Source organism: Homo sapiens, chromosome 5 (assembly GCF_000001405.40).
Source record: "Homo sapiens chromosome 5, GRCh38.p14 Primary Assembly".
NCBI lineage: Eukaryota > Metazoa > Chordata > Mammalia > Primates > Hominidae > Homo > Homo sapiens.
Genome location: NC_000005.10, coordinates 37,606,044 through 37,632,130, shown reverse-complemented (window position 1 = coordinate 37,632,130; position 26,087 = coordinate 37,606,044). Strand labels below are relative to the sequence as shown.

The 26,087-nt window shown below is 36.9% G+C and overlaps 1 protein-coding gene and 1 pseudogene across 5 annotated transcripts in view, besides 1 other annotated feature; one reads left to right on the top strand and one right to left on the bottom strand.

Moving 5' to 3' along the window:
• WDR70 (WD repeat domain 70) overlaps nucleotides 1-26,087 on the bottom strand; it is a 374,118-nt gene that overhangs the window by 121,305 nt on the left and 226,726 nt on the right. The gene's annotated exons all lie outside the window — the stretch shown is intronic.
• Nucleotides 1,286-1,786: an enhancer, noted in NCBI's record as "H3K27ac hESC enhancer chr5:37630447-37630947 (GRCh37/hg19 assembly coordinates)". NCBI's record gives its function as "activates a minimal SCP1, AML or CMV promoter by ChIP-STARR-seq in primed H9 embryonic stem cells {active_cell/tissue: H9 hESC(primed)}" and the evidence as "EXISTENCE:reporter gene assay evidence [ECO:0000049][PMID:30033119]".
• RNU6-1190P (RNA, U6 small nuclear 1190, pseudogene) lies at nucleotides 12,043-12,146 on the top strand (annotated as a pseudogene).

The following is a 26,087-nucleotide window of genomic DNA, read 5'->3' as shown; positions in this document are numbered from 1 at the left end:
GTAATATAAATTTTTCAGCTACATACTAATCTTATGGGAGCACCACCGCATACACAGACTGTCATTAACTGAAATGTTAGGTGGTGCATGACTGTACTTGAGTCTAAACTGACCTCTCCAACTTGTATTCCGTTTTGATCCTTATTAACTGTAACAGAGGGGACCAGGAGATTATCTTTGCAGTATGTCCCCTCTGCCTCTCCTGGCTCTCCTCCCCACTCACCCGGCTCTGCTGGTACTCTGTGGGTGCACAGATAAGTAGTAGGATTTTTCTATATGAGACAGATCCTCCAACAGACAATTTCACCCGTGATAATATACATTCCCTGGCTTTGAAACAACCCGTAGAGGAAAATGAGCCCTCTAGAGTCACTACCTTTCAGATGGCCCTTCACTTAGGCTGGATGAATGGGATCCCACACACTGAGAGGCCCTAGAGATGTTGGTTAAAAGTACAGACCCTGGAGCCAGACTGCCTAGAGTCAAATCCCAGATCTACCTGCCTCTTACTGTATGTCCTTAGGTAAATTACTGAATCTTAGTTAACTCATCCTTAAAACAGGGATAAAAACACTAACCTCATATAACTATAAAATGAGCTAGTACATTGAAAAGCATTAATAACAATTCCTGGTACACAGTGGGTACACAATGTTAGCAGTTATTAAAATAATTATTATTACTACTATCACTAATATTGTTATCACCACTATTGTTACTAACGGTGAGGTAAATAGCAGCGAGAAGGAGATGAATTATCTGGTCAAGCTCTATATATCAAATTACAATAAAGCTAACTGCCTTCATTGGGCAAACTCTGTTGATTTAGTTCTATAACATATTTACAAGACTATGAAGGTAGGCAAGAAGGCTAACTAGAGATGCCTGGCATTTGTCCCCCCAGACTAAAAAGGACCAAGGCTACAAATAAACAACTAAGATTTGATTTGAGTGTTGAAGATAGAGTGCTGCAGTGTGGCAAGGGAGTGAAGATGCATCTGTAATGACAGGAGGGCAGCATGGAAGCACATAGCCTCTATAACCCCATCTCCCCGACCTGGATCAGATCTGCCTGGCGTCGGAGGGAACTTTCCATCATGGGAAAAAGGTAAGCAGAATATCACCACCAACCCCCATTGCCACCACAAATGCCTACAGTCCTTCAAACAGAAGAATCCCATGGTCCTTACAAGCTCTCAGCTCCATCTGGAGAAATGCCAGGAATTCATGCAGTTTCACTGCTCCAGATTAGGAGCACAAGGTGCACCCTCTCCCCTGTGAGACAAGCTACTGCAGCAGAGTGCCATCTTGTTACCTGAGGCACCTCTGGAATGCTCCTTGCTCAGGGAGCCAGTAGCCCTACTGCACTTCTCCAGCACTGGGGTTTCATATTGATTATGCCAAGTCCATACATTATATATGAATGTCACAATCCCAGCTGTGCAGAGTATGGGCCCAGGATTGGCTGTGACTATGGTCCTACACAGCAGGTAACCAACTCCTGGGGCCACACTCCCAATTGCACTAAAAGCCTACCAGTCCTGCCTAGGACAAATCCATCCTTGGGCTAGCCAAACCACTGCATGCCCTCTGCCAGGTGGGAGAGGCCTACAAGTCTGCAAGCAGCTGACATAGCCCTGGGCCAGTGGAGTGGCTAAGTGCCCACACTCAGGGATTCAGAAACACAGTGCCCTCTTCCCTCCCAAGACATGTCCTGCCCAACCCCCTCACATCCTCAACAAGGGTCTGAGAAACAATGCTGTAGGCCACCCCTGGTGGAAACATTGCAGACTGTTGAAGCAGCCATGAGCCTAAATACATGGCTGAGAAACAGCCCTATGAGCCATCCCCAGCAGACATGCCTTAGTCTAGCCAAGCAACTACAAGCATGCCTGTGCTCCTGGCTAGAGTAACATCCCTGTGGCTACAACCCCAGTGAGCCAGACTCCAAGCTGCCTGACCCACTGTGTGCATGAACAAATGCCCAACCTAAGAGACAGCCCAGTTAGCCCAAGCCTGGCAAAGCTGCACTACTGTCACCACAAACTCTCTCAGCCTAGGCCACTGAGAAACTCTCAAATGCCCCCAGTATGGATTACGGTTGAAGAAATTTTATGACAACTACACTACTGTGTCCACCTAGATCCAAAGCCAATGCACTCCATCAAATCAACAACCCAAGATCCATTTATATGAGTAAGTCTTTCCTTGTGACACCTAGTGAATAAAATTGGAAGAGGCGACCACCAGATTCACAGAAATTAATACAGAGACACAGAATAATGAAAAAGCGAGGAAGCATGTCACTTCCAAAGAGAAACATAATTCTCTAGTAACAGACCACAATCATAATACATGCAATGCCAGAAAAAGAATTCAAAATAATAATCTTAAGGAAACTGAGTGAGATACAAGAGAATACAGATAAACAATTCAACAAAATCAGGAAAACAACTTATGATATAAGTAATAAATTCAAGAAAGAGGTGGATTATCATAAAAAAGAACCAAAAAGAAATCCTAGAGCTGAGAATTAAATGAATGAAATAGAAAATATAATTGAGAGCTTCAACAACAGACTATACCAAATGGAGGAAAAAATTTCTGAACTTGAAGATAGATCTTTTGAAATAACACAAGCAGTGGCAAAAATGAATTAAAAAGAATAAGGAAAGCCTAAAGGATTTATGAGATATCATTAAGCAAGCAAATATTCATACTATGGGCATTCCAGATGGAAAAAAGAAGGGTAAAGGTGAGGAAATCATATTTAATGAAATAATAGCAGAAAATTTCCTGAGTCTTGGGAGAGAGATGAGCATTTAGGTCCAGGGAGCTCAAAGAACCCCAAACAGATTCAACCCAAACAGGTCCTCTCTGGAGCCCAACATAGTCAAATTGTAATAAGTAAAAGACAAAGAATTCCAAAAGCATTCAAGAGAAAAGAGTCAAGTCATAAATAAGGGAATCTCCATTAGGCTAACAGCAGATATCTCAGCAGAAAGCTTACAGGCCAGGAGAGAATGGGATGATATATTCAAAGTACTGAAAGCAGGGGTGGGGAAACCCTGCTAGCTAAAAATATTATACCCTGCAAAGCTATCCTTCAGAAATGAAGGAGAAATAAAATCTCCCAATAGAGAAGCAAAAACTAAAGGAATTTATCACCACTAGAACAGTCTTACAAGACATGCTCAAGGGAGTCTTACATCTGGAAGTGAAAAGACAACAGCTACCATCATGAAAACATGTATAACTATAAAACTCACTGGTAGAGCTGATACAAAAGTAAGAAGAGAAAATAATCAATCCTTACCACTAGAGAAAACCACCTAACCATAAAAATGATAAGTAAGGGAATAAGGAACAAAGGATATGCAAAATAACCAGAAAATCAACAAAATGAAAGGAGTAAGTCCTCACCTATCAATAATCTTGAATGTAAGTGGATTAAATTCCCCCATTTAAAACATATACACTATTTGAATGAATGAAAAAACAAGACCCAAACATATTCTGCCTATAAGAATCTCACCTCAGCTATAAAGACACACTTAAACTGAAAGTATTACATGCACATGAAAATCAAGTGAGCAGGAGTAGCTATGCTTATGTCAGACAAAATAGACTTCAAGTTAAAAGCTATAAAGTGACAAAAAAGTACGTTATATAATAATAAAAGGATCAATTCAGCAAGAGAATATAACAATTGTAAATATATTTGCATCCAACACAGGAGCACCCAGATATATAAAGCAAACATTATTAGATCTAAAGGGAGAAATGGGCTTCAGTACATAGTGGGGAACACTTCAATATGTAGTAGGGAATTTCACCCCACTCTCAGCACTGGAAAGGTCATGTAGGCAGAAAATCAACAAAGGAACATAGATTTAAACTGCACCACAGGCCAGAAATGGAGGCTTATGCCTGTAAACCCAACACTTTGAGAGGCCAAGGCAGAGGATCACTTGAGGCCAGGAATTTGAGACAACCCTGGGCAATGTAGTGAAACTCTGTCTCTACAAAAAATAAAAAATAAGCTGGCTGTGATGTCATGTGCCTATAGTCCTAGCTACTAAGGAGGCTGAGGAAGGAGTATCGTTTGAGCCCAGGAATTCAAGGCTGCAGTGAACTATGATCACGCCACTGCACTCCAGCCAAGGTGACAGGGTGAGAACTTGTTTCTACACAAACTGTACCACAGACCTAAAAGACATTTACAGAATATTTCACCTAACAACTTCATTCTTTTCAGCAGCACATGGAACACTCTCCAGGACTGACCATATGTTAGGGCACAAAACAAGTCTCAATAAATTTTTAAAAATCAAGATATGACGCATCTTATCTTGCCACAATGAAATAAAACTAGACATAACAAGAGGAACATTCAAAACTATACCAACACATGGAAACTAAACAAAATGCTTCTAAACAACCAACAGGTTAAACTCAAAATTAAGAATGAAATTTTAAAATTTCTTGAAACAAATGGAAATAGAAACACGATGTACCAAAGCTTATGGCACACAGCAAAAGCAGTATTAAGAGGCAAGTTTATAGTAATACATGCCTATGCCAAAAAATAAAAAGATTTCAAATAAAAAACCTAACAATGCACCTCAAAGAACTAGAAAATGAAGAAAAAAAACAAACAAACCCCAAATTAGTAAAAGAAATAAAAACAATCAGAGCATAAATAAACAAAATTGAGACTGAGGCCTGGCATGGTAGCTCATGCCTGTAATCCCAGCATTTTGGGAGGCCAAGGTTGGAGGATCATTTGAGCCCACACGTTTGAGAACTATGGAAACGTTCTCAAGTTTCCTGGGAAACACGGTGAAACTTCATCTCTACAGAAAAATACAGAAATTAGCCAGGCATGGTGGCACATACCTGTAGTCCCAGCTACTCAGGTGGCAGAGGCAGGATGATCACCTGAGCTCAGGAAGCTGAGGCTGCAATAAGCCAAGATCAAGCCACTGCACTCCAGCCTGGGCAACAGAGTGAGACCCTAAAGAAAAAGACTAAAAAATACACAAAAGATCAAACAGAAAGTTAGTTCTTTGAGAAGATAAACAAAATCAACAAAACGTTAGTGAAACTCAGAAAAAAAGAAAAAAAGAGACTCAAATTTGAAAAAATCATAAACGGAAGAGGATATGTCACAATGGACACCATAGAAATACAAAGGATCATTAGAGAGTACTATGAACAACAATATGCCAATAAATTTGAAAATTTAAAGGAAATGAATAAATTCCTGGACACATACAACCTATAAAGATTGAACCCAGAAGGAAAAGAAAACACAAATAGACCAATTACAAGTCATGAGAGAGAATCAGTAGTAAAAGGTCTTTCAACAACAAAAAAGTCCAAAACCAGACGGCTTTACTGCTGAATTCTACCAAACCTTTAAAGAAGAATTAATACCAATTCTTTCCAAACTATCCCAGAAAATAAAAGAGGAGGGAATTCTTCCTAATTCATTCTACAAGGCCAGCAGAACCCTGATACCAAAACTAGATAAGGATACAACAACGACAACAAGCGGAAAACTACAGCCAGTATCCCTGATGAACACTGTTGCAAAAATCTTCACCAAAATACTAACAAGCTGAGTTCTAACAACACATCAGTAAGAGGATACATCATAATCAAGTGGGATTTATCTCAGGAATGCAAGGATGTCTCAACATATACAAATCAATAAACATCACACACATCAACAGAAAGAAGGATGAAAACCACAAGATGATCTCAATAGATGTAGAAATAGCTTTTGATAAAATTCAACATCGTTTCATGATAAAAACTCTTAATAAATTAAGTATAGAAGGAATATACCTAAATATAATAATGGCCAAATATGGCAAACCCACAAATGACATCTTATGAACAATAAAAAGCTTTCAGCTAAGAACTAGAACAAGACAAAGACTCCCAATCTCAGTATTCTTATTCAACATACTAATGGAAGTCCTAACCAGAGCAATTAGGCAACAGATATATAAAAGGCATCCAAATCGGAAAGGGAGAAGTCAAAATGTCCCTGTTTGCAGATGACATGATCTTATATATGGAAAAACATACCGACTTTACTACAAAAAAAAAAAAAAACTCTCTTAGAACCCATAACAGAATTCAGTAAATTTGTAGGGTACAAAATTAATATACAAAAATCAGTAGCCTTTTTATACATGAGTAATGAACTACTCATCTAATAGGGGATTAATATCCAGAATATACAAAGAACAGAAAAACAAACAAAAACAAATCCAATTAAAATATGGGCAGGCTGGGAGAGGTGGCTCAAGCCTGTAATTCTAGCACTTTGGGAGGCTGAGGCGGGCAGATCACTTGAGGTCAGGAGTTCAAGACCAGCCTGGCCAACACGGTGAAACCACATGTCTACTAAAAATACAAAAAAAAATTAGCTAGGCATGGTGGCGGGCACCTGTAATCCCAACTACTCAGGAGGCTGAGGCAGGAGAATTGCTTGAACCCGGGAGTTGGAGGTTGTAGTGAGCTGAGATCACACCACTGCACTCCAGCCTAAGTGACAGAGTGACACTCTGCCTCAAAAAACAATAAAAATAAAAACAACAACAAAAAATATGGGCAAATGATCTGAACAGATAGAAGACGACATACATATGGTCAACATGTATAAGAAAAAATACTCATGAACACCACTAACCATCAGGGAAGTGCAAATCAAAACTATAACTAGATAACATCTCATTCCAGTTAGAATAACTATTATCAAAAAGAAAAAAATAATAACAAATGCTGACAAGGATGTGGAGAAAAGGGAACTCATACACTATTGGTGGGAACGTAAATTTGTATAGCCATTATGGAGAACAGTTCCTCAAAAAACTACAAATGGAACTACCACATGATCCAGCAAGGCTACTACTAAGTATACATTTTTTAGGGCTCAGAAAACAATATCCCAAAATGAAAGCCTCAGAAGCAGCCTCTGAAGCAAACATTTTTCTCTTTCTCCTGCCCTCCTGTCTCTCTGTCCCATTCTCCCCAGAAGCTAGCCATAGAAACTAGAAGCCCTGGTCCCCAAGGTGGGTCGTAGAAACCAGAACCCCTATTCCTCAAAGCTAGTCATAAATCCTATAAATATTATTCTAATTTTCCCTCTGGCTTTCAGTGTAAAAACTGACCACAAAGGAATTATCTGACCTACATTGTTTGTCTGTAGGTTATAACAGTCCCACTCTAGAGAGGGTCTTGTCCCATACCCGGAAGGAAGGAATGCGTACTCAGAGAACCCAAAAAGAATCTAAACAGATGACCCTCCTGAGTTTCCCCAGTCTATTAGTATTAGATCACCCCTTTTTGTCCAATCATATTTCTACATGACTGTCCATACTTTGTTGAACCTCAGCATAAAAATGGACAATTTCCCCTGTATCTTTTGATCTTCATTCCGAAGGCTCCCATATATACATGATAAATAAATCTGTATGCCTTTTCTCTAATTAATCTGCCTTTTATGAGTTGATTTTTCAGCAAAACATCAGGGGACCAAGGGAAAGCTCTCCCTTATCCCCTACGGTATCCAAAGGAAAGAAAATCAGTGTGTCAAAAAGATACCTGTATTTCCATGTGTACTGCTGCCCTATTCACAACAGCCAAAATATGGAATCAACCTAGGTATCCAATAATAAATAGATAAATTAAATGTGATATATATATGCACTACGGAATACTACTCGGTCATAAAAGAGAATGAAATCCTGCCATTCACAGTAACATGGATTGAAGTGGAAGGTAAGTGAAATAAGCTGCGAACAGAAAGTTAAACTCCACATGTTCTCACTCATGTGAGAGAAAAACAGTTGATCTCATAGAAGTAAAAAGTAAAACAGAGAATACTAGAGGCTGAGAAGGGTAGAGGGAAGGGAGGGTTAGAAAGAGATTTGTTAACAGATAAACAAAATTATAGCTAGACAGGAGAAATAAGTTCTAGTGTTCTGTACCACATCAGAATGACTATAGTTAACAATAAATATTATATACTTTCAAATAGCTGGAATGACGATACTGAAAATTCCCAACACAAAGAAATAATAAATGTTTGAGATGATGAATGTTACTTACCCTGATTTGATCACTATACATTATATGTATCAAATAAAACGTAACAGTGAAGTGAAGGAAAGGATCAATTCGTCACTATGTATGCCATGGATATGTATAATTATTACTTGTCAATTAAAAAATTTTTAAATGGCTACAAATATGAGTAACTGAATAAATAAATGTATACTTTATTGACCTTCAACAAAGTACCAGGGACTGTGCTGTGTACTTACACAGTTTATCTTATTTGAACTCTATAACTAGGTAGAGATGAAGTTTATTGTTCAGATGAGGAAACTGAAGTTTGTGATGCAAAGTACTATTTTTATCATACCAGAACCACCCCTGGAGAACTTAAAGAAGATCATAAGAAGATAAGCCATATTGTGCTAATCTGGAATACTCATAATAGCTGGTATTAACTTGAGCTCTATGAAATAGTATAAAAGTTCCAAATAATTTAAACCAGATAACTTTTAGAATAAAATCTACTTGTCTATTTACTATTATCAGCTTTATATTCTAAGTGTTAATTGTGCATAAATTGATTTTCACAACAAAGATTTATATTATTTGGAAGTAGTATCTGTATCTTTTCTTTAAAACTCTGAAAGCATCTAGTTTACTACTTGGTGAATAATGGATTTTATATGTTTGAGGATAATAATGAAAACTGCAATCACCAATATTTAGAACACACTCCCTGAATTCCAGGAATTCAGTTATAAAGGACTCTGGGAATAATATACAACCCCTTTAATAGTAAAGTGAAGAAAAGGATGAATTCAGCTGTATCAAGACAAATTTTAGATGGTAAAGGAAATAACATTAAATAGCAGTGAATCTCATAGTGAGAAAGGTATATTTTTGAAATTTCCTTCAATTCTTTCAGTATTACCAAGCAGAAAGTCTTGATTTAGCATTGATTGGTCTTTAATACCGCCATAACTTTTGCCTATATCCCTTTTTAACATGGAAGAATCTAAGACACAGAGACTTGGTAGATAACAGTATCTAGCTAGTATCTGGCTAATGATTGTTTTATTTTATTTTCAGAATTTGCTATATTCTATTTAGAATCACATTGGTTTTTTACATTTTTGACAGGTTAGAATGTTTCTTTTTTTATTATTATACATTAAGTTTTAGGGTACATGTGCACAACGTGCAGGTTAGTTACATACGTATACATGTGCCATGTTGGTGTGCTGCACCCAGTAACTCGTCATTTAACATTAGGTATATCTCCTAATGCTATCCCTCCCCGCTCCCCCCACCCCACAACAGGCCCCAGTGTGTGATGTTCCCCTTCCTGTGTCCATGTGTTCTCACTGTTCAATTCCCACCTATGAGTGAGAACATGCGGTGTTTGGTTTTTTGTCCTTGCTATAGTTTGCTGAGAATGATGATTTCCAGCTTCATCCATGTCCCTACAAAGGACATGAACTCACCCTTTTTAAGGCTGCATAGTATTCCATGGTGTATATGTGCCACATTTTCTTAATCTAGTCTATCATTGTTGGACATTTGGCTTGGTTCCAAGTCTTTGCTATTGTGAATAGTGCTGCAATAAACATACGTGTGCATGTGTCTTTATAGCAGCATGATTTATAATCCTTTGGGTATATACCCAGTAATGGGATGGCTGGGTCAAATGGTATTTCTAGTTCTAGATCCCTGAGGAATCGCCACACTGACTTCCACAATGGTTGAACTAGTTTACAGTCCCACCAACAGTGTAAAAGTGTTCCTATTTCTCCACATCCTCTCCAGCACCTGTTGTTTCCTGACTTTTTAATGATGGCCATTCTAACTGGTGAGAGATGGTATCTCATTGTGGTTTCGATTTGCATTTCTCTGATGGCCAGTGATGATGAGCCGCTGTTTTGGCTACAGTAACCAAAACAGCATGGTACTGGTACCAAAACAGAGATATAGACCAATGGAACAGAACAGAGCCCGCAGAAATAATGCCGCATATCTACAACCATCTGATCTTTGACAAACCTGACAAAAACAAGAAATGGGGAAACTATTCCCTATTTAATAAATGGTGCTGGGAAAACTGGCTAGCCATATGTAGAAAGCTGAAACTGGATCCCTTCCTTACACCTTATACAAAAATTAATTCAAGATAGATTAAAGACTTAAGTGTTAGACCTAAAACCATAAAAACCCTAGAAGAAAACCTAGGCAATACCATTCAGGACATAGGCATGGGCAAGGACTTCATGGCTAAAACACCAAAAGTAATGGCAACAAAAGCCAAAATTGACAAATGGGATCTAAATTAAACTAAAGAGCTTCTGCACAGCAAAAGAAACACCATCAGAGTGAACAGGCAACCTACAGAATGGGAGAAAATTTTTGCAATCTACTCATCTAACAAAGGGCTAATATCCAGAATCTACAATGAACTCAAACAAATTTACAAGAAAAAAACAAACAACCCCAACAAAAAGTGGGCAAAGCATATGAACAGACACTTCTCAAAAGATGACATTTATGCAGCCAAATGACACATGAGAATGTGTCTTTTATAAATGGGAGAATGAGGAATGATTACTTAATAGGTATGGGGTGTCTTTATCGGGTGATGAAACACTTTTGAAACTAGAGAATTGGTGGTTGCAACACTGTGAATACACTAAATATCAACGACTGTATGCTTTAAATGATTAATGTTACGTTGTCTGAAGTTAATCTCAAATTTTTTAATTATTTGGAATATTTAAATAAAATCATTTCTAACAATTTAAAAAACAATATGGTGATGTATACATATGACAAGAATTATAAAAGTAGTATGCAAATAAGTGAATTTTGGGAAACAGACTTACCTCGAGAAATTGGACTGGATTGGTATAGATGAGATTTCTAGAGGCAGACTGTAAGAAGCTGATGGGTAGAGCCTTGCAAACTAATTTTGGTAGCTTTTCAAGATACCAACAATCTGGTAAATTTTAGCTTCAGGTGATTTCTAGTGGCATACCAGATGTCTTCAAGGGCTTAGGCAAAAATCCTGAGGCAAACAAAATATCTTGTACATCCATCTGCTTCCTGTTCTAAATCTCTGCAGCCCCTCTTCCTCTCCATCACCATTCAAGTGTACACTGTGTTCATGATGACCTCTGCTCATTCAACACCCCAAACCATTTTTTCTGTTTTCATTTCTTTAGTCCAACTTCTGTTTTCAAAGCGTAGGCTTTAGCTATGTTTGAAAAGGGTTAATATTAGCCTTGCCTATCTCACAAGGCCTCTGAAAAGATCAAATTATATTTGAGGCATGCTTTAGAAGTGTTTTTTCAAACTCTGGATTCTAACTCATTAGTGGGTCATAAAAACAATTTAATAGGTTATGATCAGTACTTTAAACACGGAACAAATCGGGATACAAAAAAAAATGGAGTGCACACTGCAATAGGAATTGCTATGGTTAACTCCTTTTTCAGTTTCATATATGCCTGTGTGTCCATGCAAAGATATGTGTATAGTCAGTCACAATATAAAATGTAATTTTCTGTGATTAAAAAATACAGCTTTACAAGACAAGTATAATAGGTCTTTTCTGCTACATTTTCAAATAGAGAGCATATAAAAACTGTTTTTCAGAATAAAACAGGGTTACTACCTGAAAAATGGAGTGATTTGCTCTTTAGCGCCCTGCCCCATGAGCATCAATGCAGCATCAGTGTTTACCACCCAGGTCAAAACCTTGATGGCAAAGAACAACAAAGCGGCAAAAAACAAACAAAAAACAGATTACTCAGTGAAAACACCACTCAATGAGAATAGTTCTTTCTGTAATTAACTATAAAAAATTGGGGAAGTATCTTTAAAATTATATCTGAATTAAGATTTGATCCTTGCATTACTTTGTTGGCTAAAGCTAAGAACCATAAAAAATGATAAAGAACAAGACTGGTAAATATTGTGTTCACGGCAGCATATATACTAAAATTGGAATGACACAGAGAAGATTACCATGGCCCCTGTGCAAGAATGACATGCAAATTTGTGAAGCATTCCACATTTTTAAGACAGTTTTGTATCATTTTGCTATTACCGGTTTGAATCTGTGCTAAAAAAAAAAAAAAAAAAAAACCTGGTAAATATTTAAAAATATTATAAAAGGATGAGGTTTAACAGAATCTTGCAAAGCTCTTTATTTTGGATCTAACATATTATAATAAACATTTCTGAAAAGTTTTAAGAAATTTGATAAATTACTGTGGCTTGGGTAATTAGTAGAAGAAAAAACAAAACAAAACAAAAAAAAAACCAAACAGGGAGGACTCACTGCAGCACCAAGAGCTTTGGAGTGCAAATCATCACTGGTTGCATCACTTCTCCAGTTGCAATGAATCAAAGAGTAGGTTAAAAGAGAATGCACACAGACCAGAGAACTGTTTCACATTTTTGGCTCAGACTTTACTTTGTGTATATAAAAAGCCCTACTAGAGGCTCTATTAAGTGAACATTTAACATTTACTATTTTGTTTATAATAGTTAAAACAGTAATGTTTGGCCTTGTCCACTTACAAAATAAATCATAGCTGTCCTGATGCTGAGAAACATGGCTCAGGAAATATCTCTACTAGAGAGAGGCATCCCTTATATAGGCTTTTTAGAGACTATAGTCATCCTGCAGAGAGTCTGAACATTTTAGATGACATAGCCCTATCTAGATAACCACAGAGGACTAATTGTGCTTTGTAATATGTCAAAAGTTTTTTTTTTTTTTTAAGAATTAGGGAGCATTTACTCCATATTGCCAATTGATACCAGATAATAATAAAATTAACTGATCAAAATTGGCTAGAATAACACAAATTCAAAACATGCTTCCCCTATTTCATGCAACCCAAATTCTTCACTTTCAAAGAGCCCATTAACCATTAAAAAATAAGGCACCATGACACGGAATGAGCAAATACGTTTTATAAAATCATTTTCCAAATTAAATTATCTATTTTATATCATTGCCTGACTCTTTTTTAAAAAGGCATAATTTAAAATTCTGTAAAAAATAAGCCTTACATTATCCATTTGTTAGCTCTGGCTTCAAAAAATCTTCAGAATCCAAACATTACCTTCACCACTAAAACCCTTGTCCAGGAATTTACCTTTATGTCTAAAATAGCCCCTAACCAGTCACCCTGCTTCCACCTTTCTCTTCTTGTAGTTATTCTCCATGCAGAACAGCCAGAATGATTCTTTTAAAAATGTAACTTGAATAATGCCAATCCTCTCCTCTCCTAAAATCCATGTAATGGTTTCTCATTAACCTCAGAAGAGTATCCAAACTCTACATAGCCAAAACAGCCCTATTTGATCTGATATATCCACCCACCTCAACCTTTTCCCACTTCCTCCTTCACTTTTCCCTATGTCAAGGCTAAAGCTGGTGGATCACTTGAGGTCAGGAGTTTGAGACCAGCCTGGCCAACATGATGAAACCCCATCTCTACTAAAAATATGAAAATTAGCCAGGCGTGGTGATGGGCACCTGGTAATCCCAGCTCCTTGGGAGGCTGAGGCAGGAGAATCACTTGAACCCCAGAGGCGGAGGTTGCAGTGAACCGAAACTGAGCCACTGCACTCCAGCCTGGGCAACTGAGCAGGTCTCTGTCTCAAAACAAACAAACAAATAAAATCTTGCTGTTTTTAATAAATACATCATTTTGACCTTTATATTTTGACTAAATTCAAGTCACTAAATAGTGACAAAGTGAAATTACATCCTTCTATTGAATCTGCTTATTCAATATAATGAAAATATAAGATTATATTAACTGCTTGCTTATATTTATACATTTGACTCTGTAACAGCAACTCTTATGGATATATTTTAAACTGAAGTTTTTGGTTCATGATTGGTTTCCATTTTTTCTGTCCTAAATGTCAATACACATCCATAAATATTTATATGTTTTCTATTTCTGCCATGTTTACCAGAAAATTTTAATTCTTCCAACTTTACCTGTGAGTTCCAATGTTTTCAGAATACCTTTAAAAATCTTTATAAGTAAATACTTATGTGAACTCAATTTTCCTTCTGGCTTCCTCAAGCAACTTTGATCAATATGCAATCATATTAATCTACAAAGTTTTGTACACAGTGTTTTCACCAGCTACATTTTTCCCTTCTATATGTTAATATCTATGCATCTAGGCAGTGTATATGTTTCACCTTTTAAGTATACTGCACAAGGTCTATATTTTAAAATTAGACTATGAAAGCTAGGATTTCTGGGGATACAATTTAAGTATCTACAGTGCAGGTAAATAAAGCCCTTGAGATTTAATTCAACAAATACTTATCAAGTCCCTGCTATGGATGGTTTACATACCAACAGATCCAAAGGTAAGGAAGAAAAAATTCTCACCCCCAAAGAGCTCGTAACAGTGACATATAAACTTTTCTGTCCTTAGCCAACTTAGGCAAGGCATAGATTACCTACTTCACCCACTCCCATATTCCAGTGGCAAGAGAACTAGGGCTAAAAGTTCCACTGCACATGAAATATTGAAAAACATTATAATCCATTTTAATAAGAACACAGATCACCCACTTTTTAAACATCTTTATCAAATTATAATTTAAGACCATAAAATTCACCCATTTTAAGTGTGCAATTCAATGATTTTTAGTTAATTTACAGAGTTGTACAACCATCACCACAATCTTGTTTTAGAATATTCCCAACAGGGTCATTTATTTTTGAACCATATAGCAGTGAAATTTTGGAGTGCATATTCTAGAGTCAGAGTTCCTGGCTCCAAAACTAACTAGATGCATGGCCTTGGGCGAGTTGTTAAACCCTTCACTGCTGTACTTCAGTTTTCTCATCTAAAACATGTAGTTAATGGTAGTACTTAATTCACAGTATTGTTCTGAGGATTAAATGAATTAAAATATATAAAAAGCACTTGAAATGGTCCCTGGAACAAAGTAAGTGTTCATTAAATATCACTTGTTAATACTATATGCTTTAAAATCTAGTTATTGGAAAAGAATCGGCTAAAAATACTACTGATGCAAATAGGCATCACTACATACTGAAGGCTAAAGCAAACAAACAACTTATAAAACACAATTATTTGATAGTAAGTTTAAGGAACAATGATTTAAAATTTAAAAACAACAATAAAGCAATTGAAAACCAAACCCATTTAAGATAAAACCTATAATGCTCTGATAGCATTCATTCATTTATTCAACAAATATTTATTAATATGTCATGCTCATCTTGGGCACAGAGAAACAGCAAATAAGACAAAAAGTCCCTGACCATATTAATCTTAAAGGGAAACAAAATAACCACCAGGCAAACTAAAAATAAAACAAAATATTTTCAGGGTTTATATCCCTAGATACATAATCTTCTAGTCCATAACAGAGCATCATGGAGGGAATGGCATGTGATTGGGCCTTCTTCAACGGATGTTGGATAGTGGATGGTGGCTATTTCTACCAGCAGCGGGGGGCTTGTGGGAGAGGCATATAGGGTGGAGTGTTTAGTATAGGAAAAGGCACCAAGGCAGTAAATCAGAGGATAATCATAAGGGAACAAAGTATAATCTAGTCTGACTAAAAAGTTTTTTGATTTAGGCTGGGTGCAGTGGCTGCCATCTGTAATCCCAGCGCTTTGGGAAGCTGAGGCGGGTGGATCACTTGAGGTCAGGAGTTCGAGACCAGCCTGGCCAACATGGCAAAAACCCATCTCTACAAAAATTAGCCGGGCATGGTGGCGCGCGACTGTAGTCCCAGCTACTCGGAAGGCTGAGGTGGGAGAATCACTTGAATCTGGGAGGCAGAGGCTGCAGTAAGCCAAGATTGCACCACTGCACTCCAGCCTGGGTGAGTGAGACCCTGTGTCAAAAAAAAAAGTGTTTTGATTATGGAGAAAGTTATGGAAGATACTCAAAGGTTGGGAAAAAGTATAAACCGAAAGACTGGAAGTGTCAGTCTGAGAAAATCTGAACATTATTCAGCATATGACAAGTACTGAAGTAGTAAGTATTGCGTTTAACGTGATTTAAACTGGGGCTAGGTTTATCAGAACACGGAGAGAGAAGGGTGAGGATAGCCAGCATCACAAGTTAAAGGTGATGAGGGTATGAAGTAGAATGAAAGCGAGAGACGCAATTGAGGGAGTGAGTGTGAGAAACACTAAAGCACAGAACTGATAAGACTGACACTGGTTATAGGAGGCAAAGAATATTCTAAAGTTCTAAACGGAAAAATAATAAAAATAGCAAAGTCAAAAGGAAGAATGAGTTCTACAAGAGACAGGTTGTGTTTTGGGTATATTGAGCGTAAGTTCTGGCATATAATCCTGGTGGGTTGTTTCACATGTAGCTGAATGTATGTCTGGAATAAATAATGCTTAGGACAGAGTTAAGAAGATTTGGTGAGCAGTCACTAAAAGTAATGATTACCGAACTTAAAATATTTCATCACCTCAACAGAAGACTGAGAAAGATGACGTCCCTTTGCACTAACACAGAATCCCTGGTCTTACATTTGAGCAGCTGTCTTACCAACATCCCAAATTACATGGTCCTATTATTCTTGTGTCACATGTTTCCTATTGTATTCCCTGTGAGTAAAATCTTCTCTATATTCCTGGTGTCCTGAAATTTCATGACGCATGGCTTGGTGTGCGTCTTTTTCATTCTTTCCAGATGAGTCCTTCCTCTCTGGAAAATCACTTTTTTTCAGTTCTGAGACCTCTTTATTTTTAGTAACTCTTTCTTACCTAATTCCAACCTCCCTCTCCTGTATTTTCATTAGAACTTTCTAGTCAAATACTAGACCCTGAATTGACACTGTAAGTCTCCTATCTTTTTTCTATCACTGTATTTTATTCTACTTCCTAGGCTTCCTCAACTATATTTACATATACTTTCCAGGAGATTTTAATACTCCTAGGGGTTCCTTCCCTTATCCCTCAATCACATATTTATTTTGCAAGAGATCTTTCTTAATCTCTTAACATTCAAATTTTTTGGTAGTAATCTGCTTTAGTTTCTTGGTTGTACTAGTCTCTATTTTCTCTCTAAGAGTATCAATTATACTCTTAGAGAGAATAATTTTTTCCTTGAAAATTTCTTCAGTTTTCTACATTATCTCTCTCTCCTCTGACTTGCTTATTCTGTTTAGTATAAGTTTCTGTATTTCATGTTAGAGGATTTCCCCAAATGTCTAGTGACCCACGTCTACCATTAATATCGAAGAGAAAAGCCCTAAAATCCAAATTAGAAACTATATGACAGGGGTCAAAATCTTTTTCTATAAGGGGCCATACAGTAAGTATCTTAGGCTTTGAGGACCATATACTCTGTTGCAACTACTCAATTCTGCTAATATGATACAAAAGCAGTCACAGATAATATACAAATGAATGAGCAAGGCTGTTATAATAAAATTTATGGACACTGAAATTTGAATTTCATATAATTTTCATGTGTCACAAAATATTTTTATTTTGATTTTCTGAATCCATTATGATAGGCTGAGTAATACTCCCAAAGATTTCCACATTTGAGTCCCTGGAACCTGTTAATATATTACCTTATGAGGCAAAGGGAAATTAAGGTTTCAGATTGATTTAATGTTGCTAATCAGCTGACCTTAAAATAGGGAGATTATCCTAGATTATCTGAGTAGGCTAGATGTAATCACAGGGGTCTTTAAAAAGTGGCAGAGGGAAGCAGAACAGAAGGTCGCAGTGTTATGACATAAGAAGGACTCAACAACGTTGCTGGCCTTGATGATGAAGGAAGTGTGCCAGGAGCCAAGATAAAAGGGCGGCCTCTAGAAACTGGAAAAGGCAAGGAAAGAGATTCTCCCTGGAGCCTCCAGAAAGGAACACCCTGCTAACACCTTGATTTTAGCCCAAAGAGACTTTAGCCTATAGAATTGTAAGATAATACATTTCTGTTATTTTAAGCCACTAAATTTGTGGTAGTTTGTTGCAGCAGCCATAGAAAAATAATACAACCATCCAAAAATGTAAAAACCATTCTTAGCTTGCCATACAAAAACAGGTAGTGGGCTAGATTTGGTACATGGCCATAGTTTTCCTGACTCTCAGTATAGACTCTTGAGCCAGACTGCCTGGGATTGAACCTCAGTTACGCTACATACTAACTGTAGTTTTTAGTAGGCAAGTCAATTTCTTTGTTTCTGGATTTTTTTTAAATCAGTAAAACAATAATGACAGCATTTATATCATAGAGTTGCTGTGTGGATTAAATAAAATATTACAAGTGCTTAAAATATTGCCTGGCTCACAGTAAGTACTTAGTAAGTGCAATAATAATAATAACAAAAACAACAATAATAACAACAACAGAGAAGGAGGAGAGGACAAACAACTCTACATGAAGATTTTCTTTGCCTGGAATATAGGGTCTCTTTATTAGGCCCCCTTTAAAAGTAATTCTTTTGTCTTCTGTGATGGTAAAGGGAGAGCAGTGATTTGGCTGCATAGAGCAGAGGAGGGAATTATAAGACAAATCAGTTTGCCTTTTACAGGCTTCTCCTACCATGGCTAAGGTTTCAGCTTTCTCTAGGTGGCTAAGTCAGTTACCATTTATGCATCTGGCTTCCAGCTTCCAAATGAATCTTGATACCTCTTTTCTGCTATCATCTCCTCTCTAATTCTCTTCATCCATTTGGGTTTATGCTTTAAAAAGAGCCTTTCCTGTCACTTTAGTGAGGTTTCAGGAGGAAGCATGGTTGAACAAATGTGTTTAACCTACCATGTTTTAACTGGAAGTCTTAAATTATTATATTATTCAGAGTCTTAAAAAACAAGGATAATAATCATCCATATTTTTAAAAAACCTTTTACCCTAACTTTCTCAAAAGCCAGTATTTTTTCATTTAGTGAATGTTGCTTCTAACAGCATGTGTAACAAAAGCATTTGCAGGAGCATTTTATAAGAGCATTATTTACAAGAGCATTATTATTAAAACTTATATAACTCTATGAAAATAATTGACAAATTAGAATTTAAGTTTAGTGCCTGCAAGTAATTTGCAGTTATGATGGTTTTGTGTTTTGAATCAATGATATACTTTTTTGGAAATGTAACCATTGAAAATAGGCATGTTAAAGCACTATAGAATAGTTCATATGTCACGTGTTCTGTTGAATATTTGTAAAAAGATCATTATAATTGATGTATCTACTCAGGCATAACTAAAACATGGGTCCATAGCATTGTTACTTATTGATGGTGGTTACATTTGCATACAATGAATGACTGGCTGGAGCAAGGCACCTATACTCTTTATCCTCCTAAACCAAACCTTTAGTCGCCTAGAAATCTGTCAGACTTGGATGCGTAAGATGTTCACAGCCAGAGTTAAATAGTATCTTGAGGTCTAACTTTACCATTCTACAAAAACTGTAAGTACCCTAGGAGTTAAAAAGAAAAAAGACGAAGACCAGCAGTTATTAAGAACCTGTTATGTGCACGTCCTATCTGAATGCTTTATATATATTACCTAATACAATCCTCATAACAATATGACATGGGGGGATCATGCCCTCATTTTGTAAATAAAGAAAATGAGAAGAACAGAGCTTAGGAAAGTCAGGACTCACAGACATGAAATCTGAAGTAAAATATAATGTAATTGTATATCTCAGATGTCATCTATAAAACATGCTGTAGGACTATGCAGTAGACATTTAGCTGTCAATATATACATATATATTCTTCTACATTCCCAGAATTAGGTCTATTGAAGAGACAAAGCTTTGAATTTCTAGCATTGCTCTTTATATTTCACACAGATGATCTTTTTTCTCAAAGATACCAGAAACATTCTCTAAATCATTTGGTATTAAAAAATTGTTTAAAAATAAAATAGAGTTCTTTTTGTCTACAACTACTCCCTCTCCTTAGAGTGAATACCGTGCTACTTTAACTTGAACACCTATTATTAGGTAAAAGTTGTGAATTATTGTTAAATGATTAGTCTTTGCAGAAAGAAAGGAGAAGACACCTAGATGAGGTCATTAGTCTGGGCTGCAAGCACAGTCTTAACCATTGGAGGTCATGTTTAACTTATACAAGTCTTTGATGATATCACTATCAGGAAAATAAAGGATACTTATCGACTATAATCAGAATTTAAAAAGCTCTCCATACATTATTCCAAAGATTAATAGCTAAAATGGTATGTCAAAGAAGTTTTTTTTTAAAAAAAAAAAAAAAGGCTGAAATCAAAATAATCTCAAAGGAAAATTTTGAAATGAAACATGAGTTCTTCACGCATCTTCACAGTTGCAGACGGCAGTAAATAATGAATAACTACGTAATAAAATGTTTTCAAAATCAAAGTCATATGACTTTAAAATTATATAACAGATGACAAATTTATCACAAATAAGACTGGAAACAAGGATAAAACATTATATGCTAAAAATATATCAATGCATTTTTTTAAAAAAATCTCCAAAATCTTGAATACCAACAGCTTAACACTCAATTTAGGGAGTTTAGATTGCTCTAATAGATATAAATGAAAAATATAAAGAAAATATTAAGAGCACGCTATCATAAAATTCTTCCTTCTTGCTAACAATCTAGCTTAGTACACATACATAGGGAACCTCCATAAAAGTAAATACTGCTTTCATTTTTAGTGGCTATGACAGCTTTATAAGAATATCCCAAAAGCAACAAAAAGATGCAATTATCAGCCATTAAAAAAAAAATCACTACAGAAAGTAGTTAACAAATAGTATGAGAATTTGTCTTAAATTAGTGTACTTGAGGTGTGAGAGAAAAATGTTCAAAGCTGCATTACGAAAATTTAACAAAAAAACCCACTAAAAGCAAATTTTTAAATTGTGAAAATTATTGTTAATGTAAGGCACAGCAGATGGTGTCCAACGGTGAGAAGTGACTTCTAAGAGACTTTAAGTAACTTGAGGGCACCCAGGGACTCAAGTGCCACCTCTCCCACAAAACATTATCTTTATTCTGCTTTACTTTTCCTTCATTATATCAAATTAGCTTGCTGGTGATTCTAAAAGAGAAGATTCAAGACTGTTTTGGGAAGTAAGAATCTCAAAAGATCCTTTAGTATCATTTTTATATGCAGAATAGCTCACTATTTCTGCTTTGTTTAGTAAACTATGAACATTATTACTCTGTAATCCCTATTAATCCTGTTGCTCATCCAAACTGTGCACCTTTCAGAAGCCCTATGACTCCCCACCTGACCTCTGCCTTCCCTAACTCTTCCATATGATGGGCATTATACAAAGTAGCACCTGGTCATAAATTACCTTACAGATCATTCCCTGAATTTTTTACAAACTACTTATAGGTTTAAATTTCTTTTGTCTTATTCTCAGTGAGGTGAGAGCTCCTCAAAAATACCAGTTGAAATGTTCCAGATGTGAACAGATACAGATATACAGATATGGAGAAAATCACAAAAGGATACCTATCAGGTAATTTACAAGCATCAAGGGATAGAGATGGGACAATGACAGAGGAGAGGAGTGGCACAGAATAAAATAATAATAAACCAAAAAACCAACTTTTTTTTTTGAAAAGCACATATTTCATGTAGGTAAAATTACAGGATCCCATTTAAATAAAGACATTTTGAAAAAAAGCAAAGAAATCAAGCTATATCTACTATTTTATGCTTTCAAATTAAAAAAACAAGCTTCAAATTCTCTCTACATAAAAACAAATTTTTTTTTTTTTTTTTTTTGAGACGGAGTCTTGCTCTGTCGCCCAGGCTGGAGCGCAGTGGCACAATCTCGGCTCACTGCAACCTCCGCCTCCCAGATTCAAGCAATTCTCCTGCATCAACCTCCCAAGTAGATGGGACTACAGGTGCCTGCCACCACGCCCAGCTAATTTTGTATTTTTAGTAGAGACAGGAGTCTTGAACTCCTGACCTTGTAATCTGCCCACCTTGGTTTCCCAAAGTGCTGGGATTGCAGGCATGGGCCACCGTGCCCAATCTATATATCTGTGAATACATGTATTAATAAGAAGAAGGATGCAGAAAGACATAAAGTAATCTTTTAACATGGGTTATCTGACAGCAACTGGAGACATTTAAAGATTTGCTGTGTGCTGGATATTTCTTTTTTCTTCATATTTGTTGTCTTACTTGCCAAAAGCTGATTTCCTGATATGATTACTGCCTCAGATTCCTCCGTTCCACTTTCTGGCATGGCTGAAAATGGGGGCACTGAACAGCCAACCGAGCTGGGGAAATCTTGCGGCTTTCTTGGTAAGGCATTGTGCTGTGTGGTGACTTTCCCAAAAGGAACAGCCCAAGAATCTGGGCAAGGGCTTGCAGGCCAAAAGGGCAATAGAAGGCAGTCAGATAGAGCAGGGGTCAAGTTGCTAGTGGTGCCTACTGCAAAATCAAACAACCTCAAATATTATTCCCTCCCATCACCTGTGTCTAGGGAGAACAAAACTCCATGAATAAGATGAATCCCAATTTTCCTGACAAAAACTTAGCCTACAAACAGTAATTGCAAGATAAGAAAACACAGTATGTTCTTTTAGTCAAGAGTCTAGTATATTGTAGATTCCTGATAGATATTAAAGAACAGCAACAGTGCTTTGTGCAAAGTCAAAGAATAAATCTGATAGGTGTTTTGATATGAAGAGAAGTTATTAGGTATTCATAAGACTATACATGCTGAATTATTTGAAAGCCCAGAATTATAAAGAGACATGAACATAGTTTTTAAAAATTTGCCTGTTATTAGCAAATCCAAAATCAGTCACATATACAGATTAATATATTTATATTAAGAATATACCAAAAACTACCCCAATACCTCTCTCCTCTCCCCCTACCCCAAAACTCGTACACATACCCAACTCTATCTCATTGTGTATTCACATAACTAGGATAGTGTTTTTATGCTACTATTCTTTAAATGTATTCTTAGAACTAAACTGACCATCTCATTTTATGTTACTATTTTAGAATACATACACATCCATTTATTCATTCAACAAATAGTTACTGAAGGTCTGCTATATACTAGGCACTGTCTTTGCTCTGGGAATACAGCAGGGAGTAGAACAGACAGCAATCCTTTCCCTCATGCAGCAAATATCCTACTAGAAGGAAACAGCCAATAAAGAGGGCCAGGTGCAGTGGCTCACGCCTGTCATACCAGCACTTGGGGAGGCTGAGGTGGGGAGACTGCTTAAGTCCAGGAGTTCAAGACCAGCCTGGGTTACATAGTGAGCCCTCCATCTCTATAAAAAACAAGAAAATTAGCTGGGCATGGTGGCGCATGCCCGTGGTCTCAGCTACTCGAGAGGCTGAAGCAGAAGGATCAACTGAGCCTAGGAGGTCAAGGCCACACAGTGAGTTGTAATCATGCCACTGCACTCTAGCCTGAGTGACAGAGTGAGAACTTGTCTCAAAAGTTAAACAAAAAAAAAAAAATAGTGAAACATACAGTACAGCAGGTCAGACAGCAATCAGCACTATGGAAGAAAATAAGAGGGGTAGAGAGTACCACTGGCAGGGAGAAGGCTGCAATTTAAATATGGTGTGGTCAGGGAAGGTCTTGCTGAGAAGAAGAAATTTCAGTCCTCTGAACTGAAAGAGATGAGAGAAAAAGCCATATGAATAGCTATAAGAGTGCTGCAGAATGGCCAGGCGTGGTGGCTCACGCCTGTAATCCTAGCACTTTGGGAGGCCAAGGCGGGCGGATCACGAGGTCAGGAGTTTGAGACCAACGTGGCCAATATGGTGAAACTCCCTCTCTACTAAAAATACAAAAATTAGCCAGGTGTGGTAGCGCATGCCTGTAGTCCCAGCTACTCTGGAGGCTGAGGCAGAAGAACCACTTGAATCCGGGAGGTGGAGGTAGCAGTGAGCCAAGATTGTGCCACTGCACTCCAGCCTGGGCGACAGAGCAAGACTCCGTCTCAAAAAAAAAAAAAAAAAAAAAGAGTGTTGCAGACTGTCAGGCTCAACATGTGCAAAATCAGGGTGCATGCTTTTACTGCTCCAATGTCATCTCCCACTATTCTTTCCCCCTCTCTCACATCATGCCAACAAGGCAATAGATGCCTTGCTGTTGCTCAAATTATGCTGGTGAATGGGAAGTAGAGAATCAAGGAGGCAGTGCAGATCCACAGAAGCTTCTCTGAAGAGGCCTTCTTCTCAAATGAAAGGCTGACCATCATCATATGAATAAAAGGAACCTTGGGCAAACAACCACTCCTCTTGAGGAGCAATGTCCAGTGAACTTTCTGCAATGATGAAAATGGTCTATATTGTCCATTAAGTAGCCACTGGTCACATGATGCTACTGGGTACCTAAAAAGTGTCCAGTGTGATTGAGAAACTGAAATTCTAATTGTATTTTATTTTAATTAAAATTAAAATAGTCAAATGTGGCTAGTGGCTAGCATATTGACCAATATAACTCTAGAGTAAACGTAGGTCTTGAGAACACAGAAATGTATCATTAATAGAGATACCTTACTTCTAAAAAGATATGTTTTGTTTAATTTACTGAAGTTCAAGTTGATCTAATGAAAATTCTAGGATTAAATGGGGCAATTATGAATGTTTTACTTAATCATCACAAAATACAGATTAACCATTATCCATCATATAATTATTTAACTACTGTTTGGAAAAACTATTGTTACTGGGCATTCTCATTTCAGCTTTAGTGTTTCCCTGTGGATGGTTATTTTTCTTGCTGAAAAAAAAGTTAAGAAATTTTTTAAAAATCCAGGCCAGGCATAGTGGCTCACATCTGTAATCCCAGCATTTTGGGAGGCCAAGGTGGGTGGATCCCTGAGGCCAGGAGTTTGAGACCAGCCTGGACAACATGGTGGAACCCCGTCTCTACCAAAAATACAAAAACTAGCTGGGTGTGGTGGTACAGGCCTGTATGTAATCCCAACCACTCAGGAGGCTGAGGCATAAGAATTGCCTGAACCCGAGAGGCAGAGGTTGCAGTGAGCTGAGATCATTCCACTGCACTCCAGCCTAGGTGACAGAGAAAGACTCTGTCAAAAAAGAAAGGGGATGGGAGGGGAGGGGAGGGGATGGGAGGGGAGGGGAGGGGAGGGGAGGGGAGGGGAGGGGGGAGCAAGGAATTTTTTAAAAATCTGTTTTCAAATCAAGCTGTGTTTCCTGCTGGCAAGTTTTTCTTTTCAACTTGATTTGTTTCCAGTTGACACACATTTGTATCCAAATGTAAAAATATGAATAAAATATAACAAATGAGATATGGTATAATAAACTTACATTCATTTATTAAATACATTCTAACAAAACAATCAAAGACTGTAATTAGCTGAATGGCTTTAAGAGATACTTGTTAGAAAGTGGCATTCCAATGGCTTTCTTTCTACAAAACTGAAAATAGGAGATACTCCTTATTTCAAGATACACAAGACAAATCTTTAAAAACTATATTCAACTTTATAAAAAGTATGGGTTTTAAGAGAAAGTCACATACATATACACTATACAAAAAACACTACTATTAAAGCTACACAAGAAAACTGCATGTTTTATAATTTCTGTGTTTAAGTTAACAGCACCCAGAGATGATGAAAACCAGTTACTAAAAAATTTACTGCTTGGTTAAAACTCAGTTTACAATTCAAAGAAGTTTTTAAGATCTCTATGCTGTTATGAAGCTTTATGAGGTTTACAGTAGAGATGAAAACAGAAATAAAAAGATCTGACAAACAGAAAATGCCAAAGATATTTTCAGCATTATCAGTATAGATTCTTTTCCCGTCTATCAACACTTTTTAACCTTCTTCCAACACATCTGCCTGAAAAAACAATTGTGTTTCCTGGGATCCCCTTCAAAATGTAAATATTTGATAGACAAAGGTGGAATATATGCATATATATTTAACTAGAATGAAAACTCCATGAGGACAGGAATTTTTGATAAGTATTATCAGTGCCT